General features: G+C 49.0%; 2 protein-coding genes and 1 long non-coding RNA gene across 4 annotated transcripts in view, besides 10 other annotated features; 1 reads left to right on the forward strand and 2 right to left on the reverse strand.

Annotated features, from left to right (window-relative positions):
• Positions 284 to 4781, reverse strand: LOC124900417 (translation initiation factor IF-2-like). Its single transcript, XM_047439473.1, has 2 exons — positions 4593 to 4781; positions 284 to 4341 (listed from the first exon to the last, which is right to left on the reverse strand). The coding sequence occupies exons 1-2, from the start codon at positions 4779 to 4781 to the stop codon at positions 3655 to 3657; spliced, it is 876 nt and encodes a 291-aa protein (XP_047295429.1). The 3' UTR covers positions 284 to 3654.
• On the reverse strand, positions 286 to 2507 carry LOC101928728 (uncharacterized). The gene has a single exon (NR_135804.1). It is a non-coding gene; the product is annotated as an uncharacterized LOC101928728 (long non-coding RNA).
• Positions 1061 to 1575: an enhancer, noted in NCBI's record as "H3K27ac hESC enhancer chr1:27019176-27019690 (GRCh37/hg19 assembly coordinates)". NCBI's record gives its function as "activates a minimal SCP1, AML or CMV promoter by ChIP-STARR-seq in naive H9 embryonic stem cells {active_cell/tissue: H9 hESC(naive)}" and the evidence as "EXISTENCE:reporter gene assay evidence [ECO:0000049][PMID:30033119]".
• Positions 1292 to 1391: an enhancer, noted in NCBI's record as "active region_516". NCBI's record gives its function as "activates an Ori minimal core promoter by ATAC-STARR-seq in GM12878 lymphoblastoid cells {active_cell/tissue: GM12878}" and the evidence as "EXISTENCE:reporter gene assay evidence [ECO:0000049][PMID:35858748]".
• Positions 3224 to 4160: an enhancer, noted in NCBI's record as "H3K27ac hESC enhancer chr1:27021339-27022275 (GRCh37/hg19 assembly coordinates)". NCBI's record gives its function as "activates a minimal SCP1, AML or CMV promoter by ChIP-STARR-seq in primed H9 embryonic stem cells {active_cell/tissue: H9 hESC(primed)}" and the evidence as "EXISTENCE:reporter gene assay evidence [ECO:0000049][PMID:30033119]".
• Positions 3224 to 5354: a biological region, named in NCBI's record as "hESC enhancers GRCh37_chr1:27021339-27022275 and GRCh37_chr1:27022276-27023211".
• Positions 4075 to 4404: a silencer, noted in NCBI's record as "silent region_486". NCBI's record gives its function as "represses an Ori minimal core promoter by ATAC-STARR-seq in GM12878 lymphoblastoid cells {active_cell/tissue: GM12878}" and the evidence as "EXISTENCE:reporter gene assay evidence [ECO:0000049][PMID:35858748]".
• Positions 4161 to 5096: an enhancer, noted in NCBI's record as "NANOG-H3K27ac-H3K4me1 hESC enhancer chr1:27022276-27023211 (GRCh37/hg19 assembly coordinates)". NCBI's record gives its function as "activates a minimal SCP1, AML or CMV promoter by ChIP-STARR-seq in primed H9 embryonic stem cells {active_cell/tissue: H9 hESC(primed)}" and the evidence as "EXISTENCE:reporter gene assay evidence [ECO:0000049][PMID:30033119]".
• ARID1A (AT-rich interaction domain 1A) overlaps positions 4391 to 14309 on the forward strand; it is an 86090-nt gene continuing 76171 nt past the window's right edge. For both annotated transcript variants that reach the window (NM_006015.6, NM_139135.4), the window contains exon 1: positions 4391 to 5916. In NM_006015.6, coding sequence (NP_006006.3) covers positions 4780 to 5916 — 1137 coding nt within the window. In that variant the 5' untranslated portion in view covers positions 4391 to 4779. The remainder of the gene's footprint in view (positions 5917 to 14309) is intronic.
• Positions 4495 to 4654: a silencer, noted in NCBI's record as "silent region_487". NCBI's record gives its function as "represses an Ori minimal core promoter by ATAC-STARR-seq in GM12878 lymphoblastoid cells {active_cell/tissue: GM12878}" and the evidence as "EXISTENCE:reporter gene assay evidence [ECO:0000049][PMID:35858748]".
• Positions 5025 to 5354: a silencer, noted in NCBI's record as "silent region_488". NCBI's record gives its function as "represses an Ori minimal core promoter by ATAC-STARR-seq in GM12878 lymphoblastoid cells {active_cell/tissue: GM12878}" and the evidence as "EXISTENCE:reporter gene assay evidence [ECO:0000049][PMID:35858748]".
• Positions 5405 to 6004: a silencer, noted in NCBI's record as "silent region_489". NCBI's record gives its function as "represses an Ori minimal core promoter by ATAC-STARR-seq in GM12878 lymphoblastoid cells {active_cell/tissue: GM12878}" and the evidence as "EXISTENCE:reporter gene assay evidence [ECO:0000049][PMID:35858748]".
• Positions 12374 to 12668: a silencer, noted in NCBI's record as "tiled region #12508; K562 Repressive DNase matched - State 5:Enh". NCBI's record gives its function as "represses a minimal TATA promoter and a strong SV40 promoter by Sharpr-MPRA in K562 cells {active_cell/tissue: K562}" and the evidence as "EXISTENCE:reporter gene assay evidence [ECO:0000049][PMID:27701403]".

A 14309-nucleotide genomic window follows, 5' to 3' on the forward strand; every position in this document is an offset into this window, starting at 1 on the left:
AATGAGCTCAGCAGAAATAAGAAATCCAAATTTCCTGATCTGCCCAGTGGTTTTATGAAACCCCAGTCCCGTTTTTTTGTTTTTTGTTTTTTTAAAAAATATTAGTAGTAGCTTTACTCAGTCTTTTCCACAAAAATAAGCTCACTGGTCAGCAAGCTCACCAGTGAGACTGGTGAGTGAGGCTGTACTTAGAAGAATATGAAAGCCTTGGTATCTTTTTCCTCATATTAGACTGGCCCTGGGTGTTATTTTTGTTTGAAACCTGCCACAAGCCAGACCAGCCTGGACTTTTACTTATTTTATTTTTTATTTCAGTTTTGGTGGAGGTGGTGGTGAGGGTAATTTTTAATTTATATTGAGACAAAATAAGCTGGCTGACTTATGCCTGAGGCTCTTTTTTTCACAGCTACTTTGGGGAAAAAAAGTCTCATTCAGAAATTAACATTTCTCAAAATGTGTTCCTTATTCTGAAATATAAATGACCCCAAATTGCTTAAGAGTTTGAGATGAGTGGGGAAAAGATCTAGAAAAGCATTTATTGTGTGCCAACCAAGTTTGAGGCCTCCTGGTTTGCTCCTTTGGGATTCTAGATCCTTGGCAGTCACAGTTTTACCGCGAAGAGCTGTTGAATGCCATTCCGAGTTCATTCCATTTTTCTCCGTGTGTGCATCCAGTTCGTATTTTACAGCTCCCGTATGGGAGCCGGTAACATAATGAATTGCCTTGACTCTCGCTTCAATCCACTTTCCTCGCTTAATATGCAGCCCAAAGTTTTGCAGCTCGCTGTCAGATGGTAGTGCTAGACTTTCACACCGATCCCAAAGCCTCCGCTGGGGCTGTTTCTTAACACGGAGTTACAAACTTTAAGAACAGACAGCTCCAGACGGAAATCCACGCCAGGCTTTGAACTCTGCTTCTGGCTTCCGTCAACTGACATAGTTGCCCTTTTGCTCAAACTCGCAGCTCCAGTTCGCACTCGAGAGAGCTCTGCTGGGTGTCTGCTGCTGTTCCGCGGCGGGAACGTGTGGGGGCAACAACCTGGCGCTCCAGCGATTCTCCACGCCTTAGTTAGGAATCTAAGCAAACCCTCGCTAGGGTCCCTGGGCTTAAGACGACTTCTCCCACAAGGATTGGGTGGAGGAAGGAGCCGAGCCCGATCTTCTGTTTGTTTGTTGAGTTTTGTATTTCAGACATTTAGGGGAAGCAAATTGCGAGAAAGGAAGGGCTGTCTTCCCTGCAAACGTTTCCCTCTCCTAGCAAACCCTCCAGGCCTCGGTTCCACATTTTGCAGTTGACTCTCTGGATTTTAATAGGTTGTTCCCTTGTCCTCGGGCCCAATCCATGCACGCTGTGCAGCCGGATAAAATGGGAGCACATCCTCTGCCATTTTCAGCCGGTTTGTCCTGGCAGCCCTGCCCCCTTCCTTGGCTGCTCTGCCGCTGGAGTTAATACGCCCAGAAACTCCGCCTGATCCTCCAGGCCTCAAATCCAGTCCGCGTTTGCTAAGTGCCGTGCGGTCGGGGACGGCGATAAGAACTCTCCTGTGAGGGAGAGCTAGCGAGACTTTAGTCCGGTTTCCATGTCAACGATTCAGTCCATATTTGCCATCAGGCTGTTGGCCGAGGTGCTTTCGCGAGGGTAGCGCTGTCCTAGTCCTAGTTCTCCAATCTGCGCCGGGATTCCTGAGCTGCCTGGGTGTGGGGTTAAAAGGCAGGGGCCGTGGGGGAAAAAACTCCACCGAAGGGAGGACCCACTGCCCCCAGCCGGGGTCTCGCTGCTCGGGCCAGCCACGTGCCCAGCTCCTCCCCTCCCCCGCTTTCCCGTTGCCACTGCCCCTAGGGAAAGCTGATGGGCCAGTTTCTAAAAAAGTTCCCTCAGCCCAACATTTCCTGGGATCGTGGTGTGGGGCTCTAAAAGTAAAAGTGGAAGAGAACCCTAGTGAATTAAAAAAAAAAAAAAGTAGAGAAATTCCACATTATCTCCTCCAACCCAGGTGGATAGATTTTTGTGCACTTTACCTTATTGCTAGAGAAAAATGGTGACTGTTTTCAAAACAGCTTGCCCACGTGTAGGGAAGGAGATTTTTGGCGCTTTCCATATTTCACAGCCATTGAAGAAAGGGGATGAGGGCTTTCTTTGGAGAGAAATCCATTCTAGCTTCCAGATTTTCACTGGGCTCCAGGTTTCCCATTACACCCCAGCTCTAAGGAAAATGGCAGAGTAATGGCATGTAAAAAAATCCTCATTTGTGTGCAGGACTCAGGACTGTTTGCCAGCTCAGGGGCAGTTGATTAAATAGCCAAGCTCTATTTATGAGGCAGCCTATAATTTGGTTTCTAGGACCTAATGCACCGGGGAGAGTTGTTGCCCCTGAGGACTGTGAGTGAAAAGAGGGCACTGGCCCATACCAGTCAGTCGGATCTTCTTGGTAGGCTGGTTTGGTTCTTGGCTTGAGGCCGGGGGAGGGGAGAAGAATAAAACTGTGGGATTTTTTTTTTTTTTAAATCTCATCACTCTTAGATTAACAGGAAGGTTTTGCCTTTCTGGTGTAGGATGCAGTAAGTTTTCTTGGGGAGAGAAATGAGTTCAGGCTTTGGAATTATTCATAGTGACCAGGGACATTGCCAGCACTCCCGGGTCCTGCATAATCTAAGATAATGCTCCTGTGGCCATGAAGTCTCCCTTTACAAAATCTGAGGGGGAAAAGAGATCCTGGTGTCTAGGAACACTGGCCTGGGCCTTTCCCAAGGCAGCCTTGGGTCTGGTGAGGAGCTGGAATCCCCTCTGGCTTTTGTAGCCTGTCATATCAGAACATTCCAAGTCAGCCTGAGGAAGAAAAGGCTGCTGCTGGGATTTGGTGGGGCCTGTAGATCAGGAGAACACTGGAGCTTTCTGTGTATGTCGATCTTTTCAGATAAACCTGGCCTTCTACCCAACTCCAGCTCAATCGGGGTCTCTTAGAATGTAATGGTAAACTTTAAACAATCTTTACGCTACAGGATAGAAAACAAATCTGACAAGCATCCATTTTCTAAGTGACTTGTTGGACTGTGCCTTTTCTTCAAGGAGAAAATGGTTTCCATTTTCTGCATCTCTCTTCTGTAATGGTTTGAACACTCAGGTTCCTGCAGTCCCTGGAGCCTCTTCTGTGGGTTTTCAGTATTAGAAGGTACTGTCTTTGGAGACTGGGGCTACTTGTCATGGTAGGCTAAGTTTTCTTAAGAGGGAGTGAGAAACGGTGTTTAGGTTTTCCTGCTGGGTAACTGTTCTATGCTCCTAAAGCAACTTCAGTGGCCTCCATTTTAAGTTAGTGGTGAGATGATCAGTTTTGACTTCAAATCCATTTTGATATTCTGATCCCATTGTTGAATGTGCTCACAACTTGATTTTTTTTTTTTTAAAGGCAAGTAGACCGAAGGCAGCTTTGGTGACTCCACTTCTTTTTAAAGTCACCCTCCTCTGCCCTCTGACTTTAAGTGACAGGCAGTTCCCTCCCCTCTCTTTCAATTCTGTAAAATGGGGATAATCCGGACCTCATGCCCCCAGAGCCTTGTAAGGACCGGCTAATGAGGGCAGGCGAGTGGGAAACGAATCGTCTGAACAATGATCAGTCATTCTTTCGGGCTTGCAAAGAGGGTAAAAAAGGTTGGGTCTTTAGCGGGGTCCGTAGAAGGCTTTGAAGACGAAAAGTGCTGTAGAGGTGCTAAGCAGCAGCCAACGGACCGGGCCCGCTGCCAGGGGGTCAGGGCTGGGCCGAGGCGGCCGCGGTCTCAGGCTCTGGCCAATTTTGCAGCCGCGGGTAAAGTTCACGCTGCCCGCTCCCCTCGGTACGGCCGGGAGGGGACAGACCTGGATAGGGACGCCGGGAGGGAGGCGGCGCAGGCTCCAGAGATGCGCGGGCTCCGGGCCGGGTTTTCTCCGAAGCCTTCGGCGGCGGCGCTGCCTAGCGAAAGCGGCTGAGGGCCTGCCGCCGCCGCGGCTTGTTCTCTCCCCTCCTCCTTTGTGAAGGGAAGGGAGCGAGTCCGTTCCACGGCCTGCGCCCGCTCCGCTCTCCACTCCGGGTTTGCCAGGCGGCCGCGACGGCGCTGGGTAAAATGGCAGTGCTGAGCCTCGTGTCGGAGTGAGGGGGACTCGGAGGAGAGTGGGGCGCTCTAGCCGCTCAGTCCGGCCGACCGCTTGCTCGCCCGCCCGCTGCCGCGCAGCAGCCTCGACCCAAGCCGCAGCTGGCGAGGGGAGGCAGGGCGCCGGGCTCGGCCCGCGCTCTGACTCTGGCTCCCGGCGCCCCGGCTGCTGCCGCGCGCCCTCCAGCCCGCCCGTCCCGGGTCCCCCTCCCCCCGCTCCCTCCCTCCCTCCCCGCCCCCTCCCCCTCGCCTCCCTCCCTCCCTCCCTCCTCCTTTCTCCGGCAGCAGAAAGCGGAGAGTCACAGCGGGGCCAGGCCCTGGGGAGCGGAGCCTCCACCGCCCCCCTCATTCCCAGGCAAGGGCTTGGGGGGAATGAGCCGGGAGAGCCGGGTCCCGAGCCTACAGAGCCGGGAGCAGCTGAGCCGCCGGCGCCTCGGCCGCCGCCGCCGCCTCCTCCTCCTCCGCCGCCGCCAGCCCGGAGCCTGAGCCGGCGGGGCGGGGGGGAGAGGAGCGAGCGCAGCGCAGCAGCGGAGCCCCGCGAGGCCCGCCCGGGCGGGTGGGGAGGGCAGCCCGGGGGACTGGGCCCCGGGGCGGGGTGGGAGGGGGGGAGAAGACGAAGACAGGGCCGGGTCTCTCCGCGGACGAGACAGCGGGGATCATGGCCGCGCAGGTCGCCCCCGCCGCCGCCAGCAGCCTGGGCAACCCGCCGCCGCCGCCGCCCTCGGAGCTGAAGAAAGCCGAGCAGCAGCAGCGGGAGGAGGCGGGGGGCGAGGCGGCGGCGGCGGCAGCGGCCGAGCGCGGGGAAATGAAGGCAGCCGCCGGGCAGGAAAGCGAGGGCCCCGCCGTGGGGCCGCCGCAGCCGCTGGGAAAGGAGCTGCAGGACGGGGCCGAGAGCAATGGGGGTGGCGGCGGCGGCGGAGCCGGCAGCGGCGGCGGGCCCGGCGCGGAGCCGGACCTGAAGAACTCGAACGGGAACGCGGGCCCTAGGCCCGCCCTGAACAATAACCTCACGGAGCCGCCCGGCGGCGGCGGTGGCGGCAGCAGCGATGGGGTGGGGGCGCCTCCTCACTCAGCCGCGGCCGCCTTGCCGCCCCCAGCCTACGGCTTCGGGCAACCCTACGGCCGGAGCCCGTCTGCCGTCGCCGCCGCCGCGGCCGCCGTCTTCCACCAACAACATGGCGGACAACAAAGCCCTGGCCTGGCAGCGCTGCAGAGCGGCGGCGGCGGGGGCCTGGAGCCCTACGCGGGGCCCCAGCAGAACTCTCACGACCACGGCTTCCCCAACCACCAGTACAACTCCTACTACCCCAACCGCAGCGCCTACCCCCCGCCCGCCCCGGCCTACGCGCTGAGCTCCCCGAGAGGTGGCACTCCGGGCTCCGGCGCGGCGGCGGCTGCCGGCTCCAAGCCGCCTCCCTCCTCCAGCGCCTCCGCCTCCTCGTCGTCTTCGTCCTTCGCTCAGCAGCGCTTCGGGGCCATGGGGGGAGGCGGCCCCTCCGCGGCCGGCGGGGGAACTCCCCAGCCCACCGCCACCCCCACCCTCAACCAACTGCTCACGTCGCCCAGCTCGGCCCGGGGCTACCAGGGCTACCCCGGGGGCGACTACAGTGGCGGGCCCCAGGACGGGGGCGCCGGCAAGGGCCCGGCGGACATGGCCTCGCAGTGTTGGGGGGCTGCGGCGGCGGCAGCTGCGGCGGCGGCCGCCTCGGGAGGGGCCCAACAAAGGAGCCACCACGCGCCCATGAGCCCCGGGAGCAGCGGCGGCGGGGGGCAGCCGCTCGCCCGGACCCCTCAGGTACACAGCTGAGTGGGGAGGGGGCTGGGGCGAGCGTGGTCCTGGGGGTGGGTGGCGGCTGCGGTGAGCGGGCCACAGCCTTGGGCTCCCCTCAGTCCCGGGCCCCCACTGCTGGGGAGCTGCCATTGTCTGGCTCTTCTCTCTTAAAATGGCTGCCTGTCTGCCTTCCTCTCCTTCCCTCCTTCAGCCTTTGTGTTGGGTTTTTCCAGAGGTGTCTGCTCCTCTTTTTCCTCTCCCCTGGTCCCTTCGAACTCCAGGGGTCTTGATGGGGGTGCGGGGCAGAGTGTGCGGGGAAGGGCCTGGCCGGGGGTGAGGGGGTGAGGGGGCGCTGGGGGCTCAGGTTAGGAGTGTAGGCAGTGGTAGGAGCCCAGGAGTTGAATGAACGTTTCTTTGCTCACCTGCCGCTCCTCTCCGTCCCCCGGCCTTCCTCTGGGCCGCCCCCCATCTGTGCTTTCAAAGAGGGCCCCTAGAGCTCGAGGGGACCTCGAGGGGAGGGCAGGGGACTGCTTGGGAGCTGCTAGAGGCCGGCTGCGGTTCACCTAGGGCAGCCCGGTCCATCTCCTGTCTTAGGCTCCGCCGGCCCAGTGGCCTGGGCTTCTCCCTGGAAGTGCTGGTAAACAGCTGAGTGATTGGAGTAGTAAGTGCAGATTGCTTTGGTTTGGGATTTGAATTATGGAGGTAAAATCCTTCTGTCAAAGCCAGGAGACAGTTGGTCTTAGGTTGACATCCTATCTGTGATCTGATTGGCTCCCCATCTCCTGCTCTTGGCCATTTATAATTGCCTCTGATGTAATGGTACAACAATCCTGATGAGCTCATAAACTTTTACACTCTGCTTTTCTGCCAGTGATAACCCAAACTATCGCTGCCACTATCTGCCTTTTATTCCAGAGCTGAAATTGGCTGTGACCTTGAGGAGGGAGGTTTAAGTAGCAATACTGTATCAGCAAGAGCAAAGCCTCAGACAGCCTGCCCTTGTTACATTGTGCCCAAACAAAAGAGGAGGCAATGGCATTTTGCTTGTACCTTGGATTTATTTTGCTTGTTATGTTTTATGCAGCCTGAAATGAATTCTGTGTTGTCAGAACAGTAGCTGAGTTTTTTCTCTACAATGGGTTTGCTGTTTGTTTTGGTTTTGTGACTTTCCTGATGGTATAAATGACTTCTTTGATGGCTCTGAAGATGCATTTATCTTGAGTAATTTTGACACTGGTTGCTTTGCAGAATTGAAATGATTTTACTGGGCTTTTTATTGAGTGGCAAATGTGGGATCTTTATGGGGGGCCAGAAAACAGTTTTTGTTATTTTTTTTAGAACTGGGAGCTTTCTGAGGAATTTTATATTAGGTTCAAGCGGTCTGTTTTAAGGAAGACTGGCCTCATTCTTTGTTTACATGTTGAATCTTGTTAACACTTTCTTTTGTTAATTGAACTTTGGAATAGCAGCTTAATTTAAAGGGAAGCTGGTGTCTTTCATGATCTTGAGGGACTTTCTCCTAAAGGCTTGGTTTGGTGAAATTGTTTTTTTCCTGGAATAACAAAAAGTCTAGTTTTCTGTTTTGTCATCAGTCATTTTAGAGCTTTGAAATAGAGACTGGCCAGTTTATTCCTTTGCATTTTAATGTATGTTCCACTTTTTTTCTTGTCTTCCAAGATATGAAGATACGACCTAGAATGACACTTAAGATTTGCTTAGAAATTGCAACTTCTGAGTACCTTGTTACACTATTCTATCTTGTTTTATTTTGTTGCTTTTCTTCCATCTTCATCATGCTCTGTCAGCAGTGCTTTTGGTCAGGGATATTGAGTATTCTGTGGAGTCATACATGTTTTCAAAGAGGGGGAAGCTCCATTCATCCCCTCCCAAACCCCTTGCGCTTTTGTGCTAGGAGGAAATTTTGTTCACTTACTAGCTGTATTCCCAGCCCATCCTAGAGCTACTTTACTACTCTTTTGAGCTGGGGATTTTGAAATTAGCTGTGTTAGATGGTGGGCTTGGAGCTCTGTGCCTTGATTCTACATCTTCCATGATGTTCTGCATCTGGACAAGAAATAGGGAAATGTTACATTGTTTTTCTAGTGTCTGGAGGAAAAGTTTTGTCTTAAAAGACAGCATCCTCTTGTCTCTGGGTCATCCTATAGTCTGAACCTCTTTCCTCTCATTCCCCTTGTTTTGTTTGGTTTTGGCTGAAAATTTTACTTTTCTTGAAAACTATTAGAATAAGTCATTTGGGGTAGTAAGTCAGGGTTCATTTAAAAGCAAAATTGATTGGAATTCTGCTGGTTTGGAAATATTTAGTCAAAGGTTTTAAAGAAAAAGCCAACTCTTTTGGTATAATGATTTTTGTTTTTCAGTCAGTAAATTATGGAACACTTTCTGTGTAGATGATAGGAGAATAGATACAGTCCCTGTTTGGATGCCTGTCTGTGCTGCCTTTGGATGAATTTTCTGATCTCTTTTATTATCACTAGACCCACACAACATAGATTCCTAATTAATTTCAGCTCAGTTGTCTACTCCCCAGAGACCCAGGGAATGGGCTGGTGAGCATTCAGTTGTGTAAGAGACAGTGCAGCTTCCACTTCTGTGGACTGCTTCAGGTGTGTGGTAGTAGTCTAGGTGAGGGTTGTAGGTTCAGACTTTGTTCTGAATTTCTCTTTGCTACTTGATAAACCTCTTTTCAGACCATGATGCTCTACTCTTCAACATTCTTAAATTAAAAAGTCTTGCTCTGTCTCCATCTTTTCCTGGCGCAGTCTTAGATTAAGAATATTTTGCAGAGACTTAATTAACACAGCTAAGGTGATAACGTTTTCATTTGACTCTGCGCTTATGAAATAAAGTTTAGGTAAGTGTGTGTATTGTGGCTATGTCTTTTTCACAGGACCTGGGAAGATCTTAGACAAACTTTTACTTTATTCCTTTTCATAAGTAGTGTATCTCAAGTGTTGAATCCCGGTACTGATGAAATAGTTTTAGATTACTTACACACATGAAGTTGATTTAAGGCTTTTTATTGGGACGCTTTTTAGCAATAATACTTTGAGAGTAATACCAGTTTACCAAGGTAAAAAATAAAATACAATAAATAGTCCAGGAACAAGTTGGATTTTATTGTAGAAGTTTGGTTGTTAGTTTCTACTACGGAAACATCAAATGATATTTCTGACTCCTGGGAAACAGATACAGGAATCCTAGATTTATTATGGGAATGCCTACTGGCAGAAATTCTAGGCTGGCTGAAATACAGGACTCTTGGAGCTCTCTCAAGTAGGAGGGACCAGGAAAACCACACTGAGATGGCACTTTAGTTGTGGGGGTTTCATGTTTCTCTACTGTTCATGAGAGAGCTGGGGTGATGAGGATTGAGATGGTGGTGTGAGAACAGAGAAAGCAGCCAGGACCAGGTTTGGCTTCTTGTGTATTGGGCCCTGTGAGGACTTTTTAGGTTCCTTTCTTTGTGTGTGACATGAGTAACCATGACAAGCAGCACCTGCTGAAACAGGATGTCTTGGATTGCATTAAACATTAATATGTTGGATTGACTCCTGTAGGTGTAATGTCTACAGTAGACCTTTTGCAAAGAGGTTAGTGAACTTTTTTAGAATGAGGGAATAGGCTAACAAAGTAATAGGCAGGGCTCTTTCCTGTTCCCATCCCTCAAAAGGTTGTATTGATTGGCTTCAACTCTCAAAATTCTAGAAGCAACTGAAGCTTGTAAATATGGTAAAAATGTGGTATTCAAATATATTGGCACCGAGTAGTTCTTTTCTGCCAGTGAGCTGTAATACCTGGGGCTTGAATGGAGTCCTGATTCCTGTGGCTTTTATCTCTGGGTTTTTCCTTGTTTAGATTGGTCATTATCATTACTGACGCACACTTACGTTGTTATTACTGATGCATACTTGAGTTGTGTGTTGCGTTAGTGGTAAAGAGCACAGGACTCACAACAGGAGGAGGAAGGAGGAGGCTTAGGTTCCACATACAGCTCCAGATTAAGCTGTGTGACCCTGGGCAGGTCATTTGCTTTCTCTATTTTTCATTTTCTCCCTCATCAATAAAATGAAGTTGGTCTGCATGGCCTTCTCACTCTAAGATGCTACATATCTGTGCTTCCATAGCTGGCTTGTTATGAAGGCAGCTTTCTGTACATAAATCAGGGGTCTTGAGACCATCTTTCTTCCCCTGGACTGAAGGAACTCAAAGCTATTTTCTCCTGGGATTCACAGGAACAAGCTCTGAACAGTTGGGTGCCATTGTGGTCTGTAGACTTTTACAGAAAAAGCTCTACCAGACTGTTGCCTTGAAACTGTTAATCTGTTTGTCATTAGTCATTCCACCTGGCTGGTGGTTTTAAAACACTAAATAGTCGTTGGAAAGTTAGGTAGATTTCATTAAAGCAAGACTTGAAAAATAGTTGCTTCAGGATCCCCAGGAGGCTTTTGCACTTGGGGTTGGGGTGAGGAATGGATATTCATAAGTTCAGTGTTGATATTCTGCTGCTTTTGGGGAGGGGTAGGGAGAGAGAGGGAGCATTAAGCTCTCCAGACTCCTGGTGTTTGGGCAGGTCTAGGTCTGGTTTGGGCAGTTGGTTGTAATCTGAGTGCCTGGACTTGCCCTGTAAGTTTTGCTGAGAGAGAAGCAAATGTTCCTGAGACTGGAAGAGGAAAAGCTGCGTTTCAGGGTCAATTTCATAGGTGCATTTGTTGTTTCTCATCGCTATGGTTTAAAAAACTACATGGTGTGCTTTGCACGTGGTCCTGGAAATGCTATTCTTTCTCTTCTCCAGCACACCTGAATTTCCATTCTTTCTCTTCCTGGCTTAGTAGTTTAGAAGTGTAATTTAGGTATATTAGAGGAAGGAAGCTTCCCTTTATAAAGGAGGGAAAAGGGTAGAGGGAACAGTGTTTGATAATTCTGTGCTTGACACAGCATCTTCTATCGTCTCTGAAGGAACCAAATGTTTCAGAGCTTTGTGTAAATACTTGCTGAGCTGTCAATATGTACCCAGGAGGTTTCTGTAGTAAGATGTAAACTGTTCTATAGAATGTTTGACAGGCAAATTAATAAACAGTTTTCAAGCAAAGATAATGCTAGCCTCCTCATGTGGTGGAGTAAAATAACATTGGGGAAAAAGACTTGGGGATAGGAAAAGGGTAGTGCTGGGGGGCAGTGAGTGTGGAGATAAGAAGTGATCTAAAAAAAAATTGAAATGGAAAGATGCTGCCCTGGTAGTGAAACCTCTGTGGCCCTGGCTGCGTGCTAAGTTCAGGGCATGTGGTATCCTGTTAAAGTCAATTGCAGTTTCATAGTGAAAATAGAAGTTTGGAAAGAAGATCCTGACTGTCAATAGTAAGGTAAGTATTACCCCAGACACTTGGCTTATGAGACTTTGAGGTTTAAAGGGTAGCTTGGTGAGATTATTTTTGGCTTGGGTTTGCATTTCTGGAATATTAGAAAGGAGAAAAAAGATACTGCAACTTGAGTGTGATCTTTATCCTCAATTTTGCTGTTGTGCTGGGGATTATAAGTCCACTACCCAATGGCCTGGGTTTATTTATACAGTTTTTACTGGACTTCTGTGTATCACTTATGATAAAATTAATATGCCTTTACACTCTGTTCCTGGGTCAGTACAAAGTCCAAATATTTGGGGACTCACTACATCTTACTTGAAGGATTATGTGAGTAGATACAGTCTTTGTTTTTGAAATTGCCATTTTAGGATTAAAAACATATCTGGGTTCCTTCAGTGACACATTCTTTTTATGGAAGAAGAAGAAGAATCTATGAATATTTTAGCTGTCTGTCTGTGGTCCTCTTCTTTGGTAGCCTTGTGAGATGACCAGATTTGCCTTCTCAGAATGTCTTTTTTAACTAGATTCATTGATTCTGACACCAGTTTTCTTTATAAGAAGTGTTTTTTACACCAGAGTCCTGGAAGTGCCCTTTTGACTTAGCTGTTTATATAGTAGCAGGGAATATGAATGTAATTATGGTCCTGACTATGATTTTTAGGTTCAGCTAACTTACTACCAAAGGCTATCAGCTTGTTTTAATACAAAACACAAAAACTTGGATTGGCACTGACATAGGTTGCTTAATATTGCATGGTCCTTTCCCAGTATGTTGGTAGTGAGGGTATTAGGAACTTCAGACTTATTGCTGAGAGCATAGTTTCTAAGTCAGAGAGATCAGGAAATTCCAATGGGGATGGGAAATAGCCCTATGTGATTACACCAGCTAGGTACTAGGAAGAGATTTAAAAGGTAGAAACAATATCTCCTTCAGAGGCATTTAGTTTTCTTAGGAAAGCATGCTTATGTGCACACATCTGGAAAACTTGAAAAGCAAGGTTTCATAAATGGATGTAGACCACACTAATTATGTGAGCTGAAGGAATTAGAGGAAAAGGTTCAATCAGTTTGGCAGGGTTAACCTGGGACAGCTTTTCAGAGGCTTTTTTTGTGAAGCTAAATGTTCAAGAAACTTAGAATACTAATTTGCCTTTTCATAATGCTATTCTTAAGTTCCATGGGCTTGATAGAATCCACATTGCACATCCATCTCCAGACCAGTAGCTGTCTCAGTGTTCCAATGACTTTGAGAATTTGGACTCTAACCATAAAACTCCCTGAAAGAGTGGTTCCAGGGTCTTAGTGGTTCTTGTGGTCAGGTAGAGCCTTTGGTACAGACTGTTAAGTTCTTGGCTAGTTCAGGGGCACTTTTCTAGTAAATTTGGATTTGGAAGGTCATGTCACCTTCAGAGTTGTGTGCCCTGGACAGCTCTGTAGTAATGGTGGTTCAACTTTGTTGGTGAGTCTGTCTTGGCAGAGTTAGTTGACCTTTCTTAAAACAAGAGCCACGAAGTAAGTATCTGTTGGGACTCTTAGGCTGCTATTTCTGAGGAGCTGGGAGCTGTGTTCAAGTCAAGTTGCTTGTGTTAGACCTTATATTGAGGTTGATGGGTTAGGTAAGCCTGCACATATGCAGTCTGCCCATTTATTCATAGAAATGGCCTTTAATACTGTTTTTGGCCGGGCGCGGTAGCTCACACCTATAATCCCAGCACTTTGGGAGGCCAAGGTGGGAGGATTGCCCAAGCCCAGGACCAGCCTTGGGACCAGGCTATTAACATAGGGAGACCCCATCTTTACAAGACACAAAAATTGCTGGATGTGGTGGTACGTGCCTGTAGTCGCAGTTTACTTAGAAAGCTGAGGCAGGAGGATTGCTTGAGCCCAGGAGGTTGAGGCTGTTGTAAGCCATGATTACGCCAGTGCACTCCAGCCTGGGCAATGGAGCCAAGACCTTGTCTCAAAAAAAAAAAAAAAATTTGTTTTTTATTAGGTTACTATGGCCAAGCAGCTAACAAATGCTGCTCACCAATGCTTAATCCTTGTGGAGCCTCTGGAATATAGTGATTTTGGTTTCTTTACCTGCTGGTCGATCTGTGGTTGGGCCTTGGCACTTCACCGGTCAAGGATCATCAGTGGATGCTTAACAGCTGAAGATGCATGGCATGTCCAGTGCCAGGCCACTGTAATGCTTCTACCTGGAGAAGGATTGGTTACACTGCTCCAGTACAGAAGTACTGCAGACCTTTTTTTTTTTTTGAGATGGAGTCTTACTTTGTCACCCAGACTGGAGTACAGTGGTGCAATCTGGCTCATTGCAACCTCTGCCTCCCAGGTTCAAGCGATTCTCATGCCTCAGCCTCCTGAGTAGCTGGGATTATAGGCTTCCACCACCATGCCCGGCTAATTTTTGTATTTTTAGTAGAGGTGGGGTTTCATCATGTTGGCCAGGCTGGTCTTGAACTCCCAACCTCGGGTGTGATCCACCCACCTTGGCCTTCCAAAGTGCTGGAATTACAGGTGTGAGCCACCACGCCCAGCCTTTTTTTTTTTTCCCCCCCCCTCAAGTAATGGTCCATGACCTGCTGAAAGTACTGGAGTCTTGGATAAACATTCTGGTTTAGAAATACCTTTTCCACTTTTTTTGCCTTGCCATTTTGGCATTTTGCAAAAGTGGGTTTTCAGTTACTCAGAATTGGGCACCATAGTTAACCTCCTATGGATTACAGGTGTTTAGGGGCTTGAACTCTGATCATTCCCAGGTTTTAGAGGAATCCAAGTTCGGGTGAATATTGACTTAGTAGCCTTGAGTATTCTTCCTGAAATTACCCCTCCTCTCCATTTAAATGGATGAAATTAGTTTTTTACTGAATGTGAAGGGACATCTGAATGAACTTCTGTTTGTTTTTGTTAGTCACTTGTGCATAGCTGGAATATTATCTTGGGACAGGTTGAGTCTATTTCCCAGTGGCTTCTGCATTTTCTAAGGGTGGACTGGAATGGGAAGAAGTCTAATGCCAAGAATGCATTCCAACA

This window comes from Homo sapiens, chromosome 1, assembly GCF_000001405.40.
Source record: "Homo sapiens chromosome 1, GRCh38.p14 Primary Assembly".
Taxonomy (NCBI): domain Eukaryota; kingdom Metazoa; phylum Chordata; class Mammalia; order Primates; family Hominidae; genus Homo; species Homo sapiens.

Bases quoted from the DNA above. Each gene is read 5' to 3' on its own strand.
- LOC124900417 (XM_047439473.1), bottom strand. From the start codon at position 4,781: ATGATCCCCGCTGTCTCGTCCGCGGAGAGACCCGGCCCTGTCTTCGTC. The intron at 4,342-4,592 runs GCGGCGGCGGAG...GGAGGGAGGGAG, and splicing joins CCGGCTCAGGCTCCGGGCTG to GGAGCGGGGGGAGGGGGACC.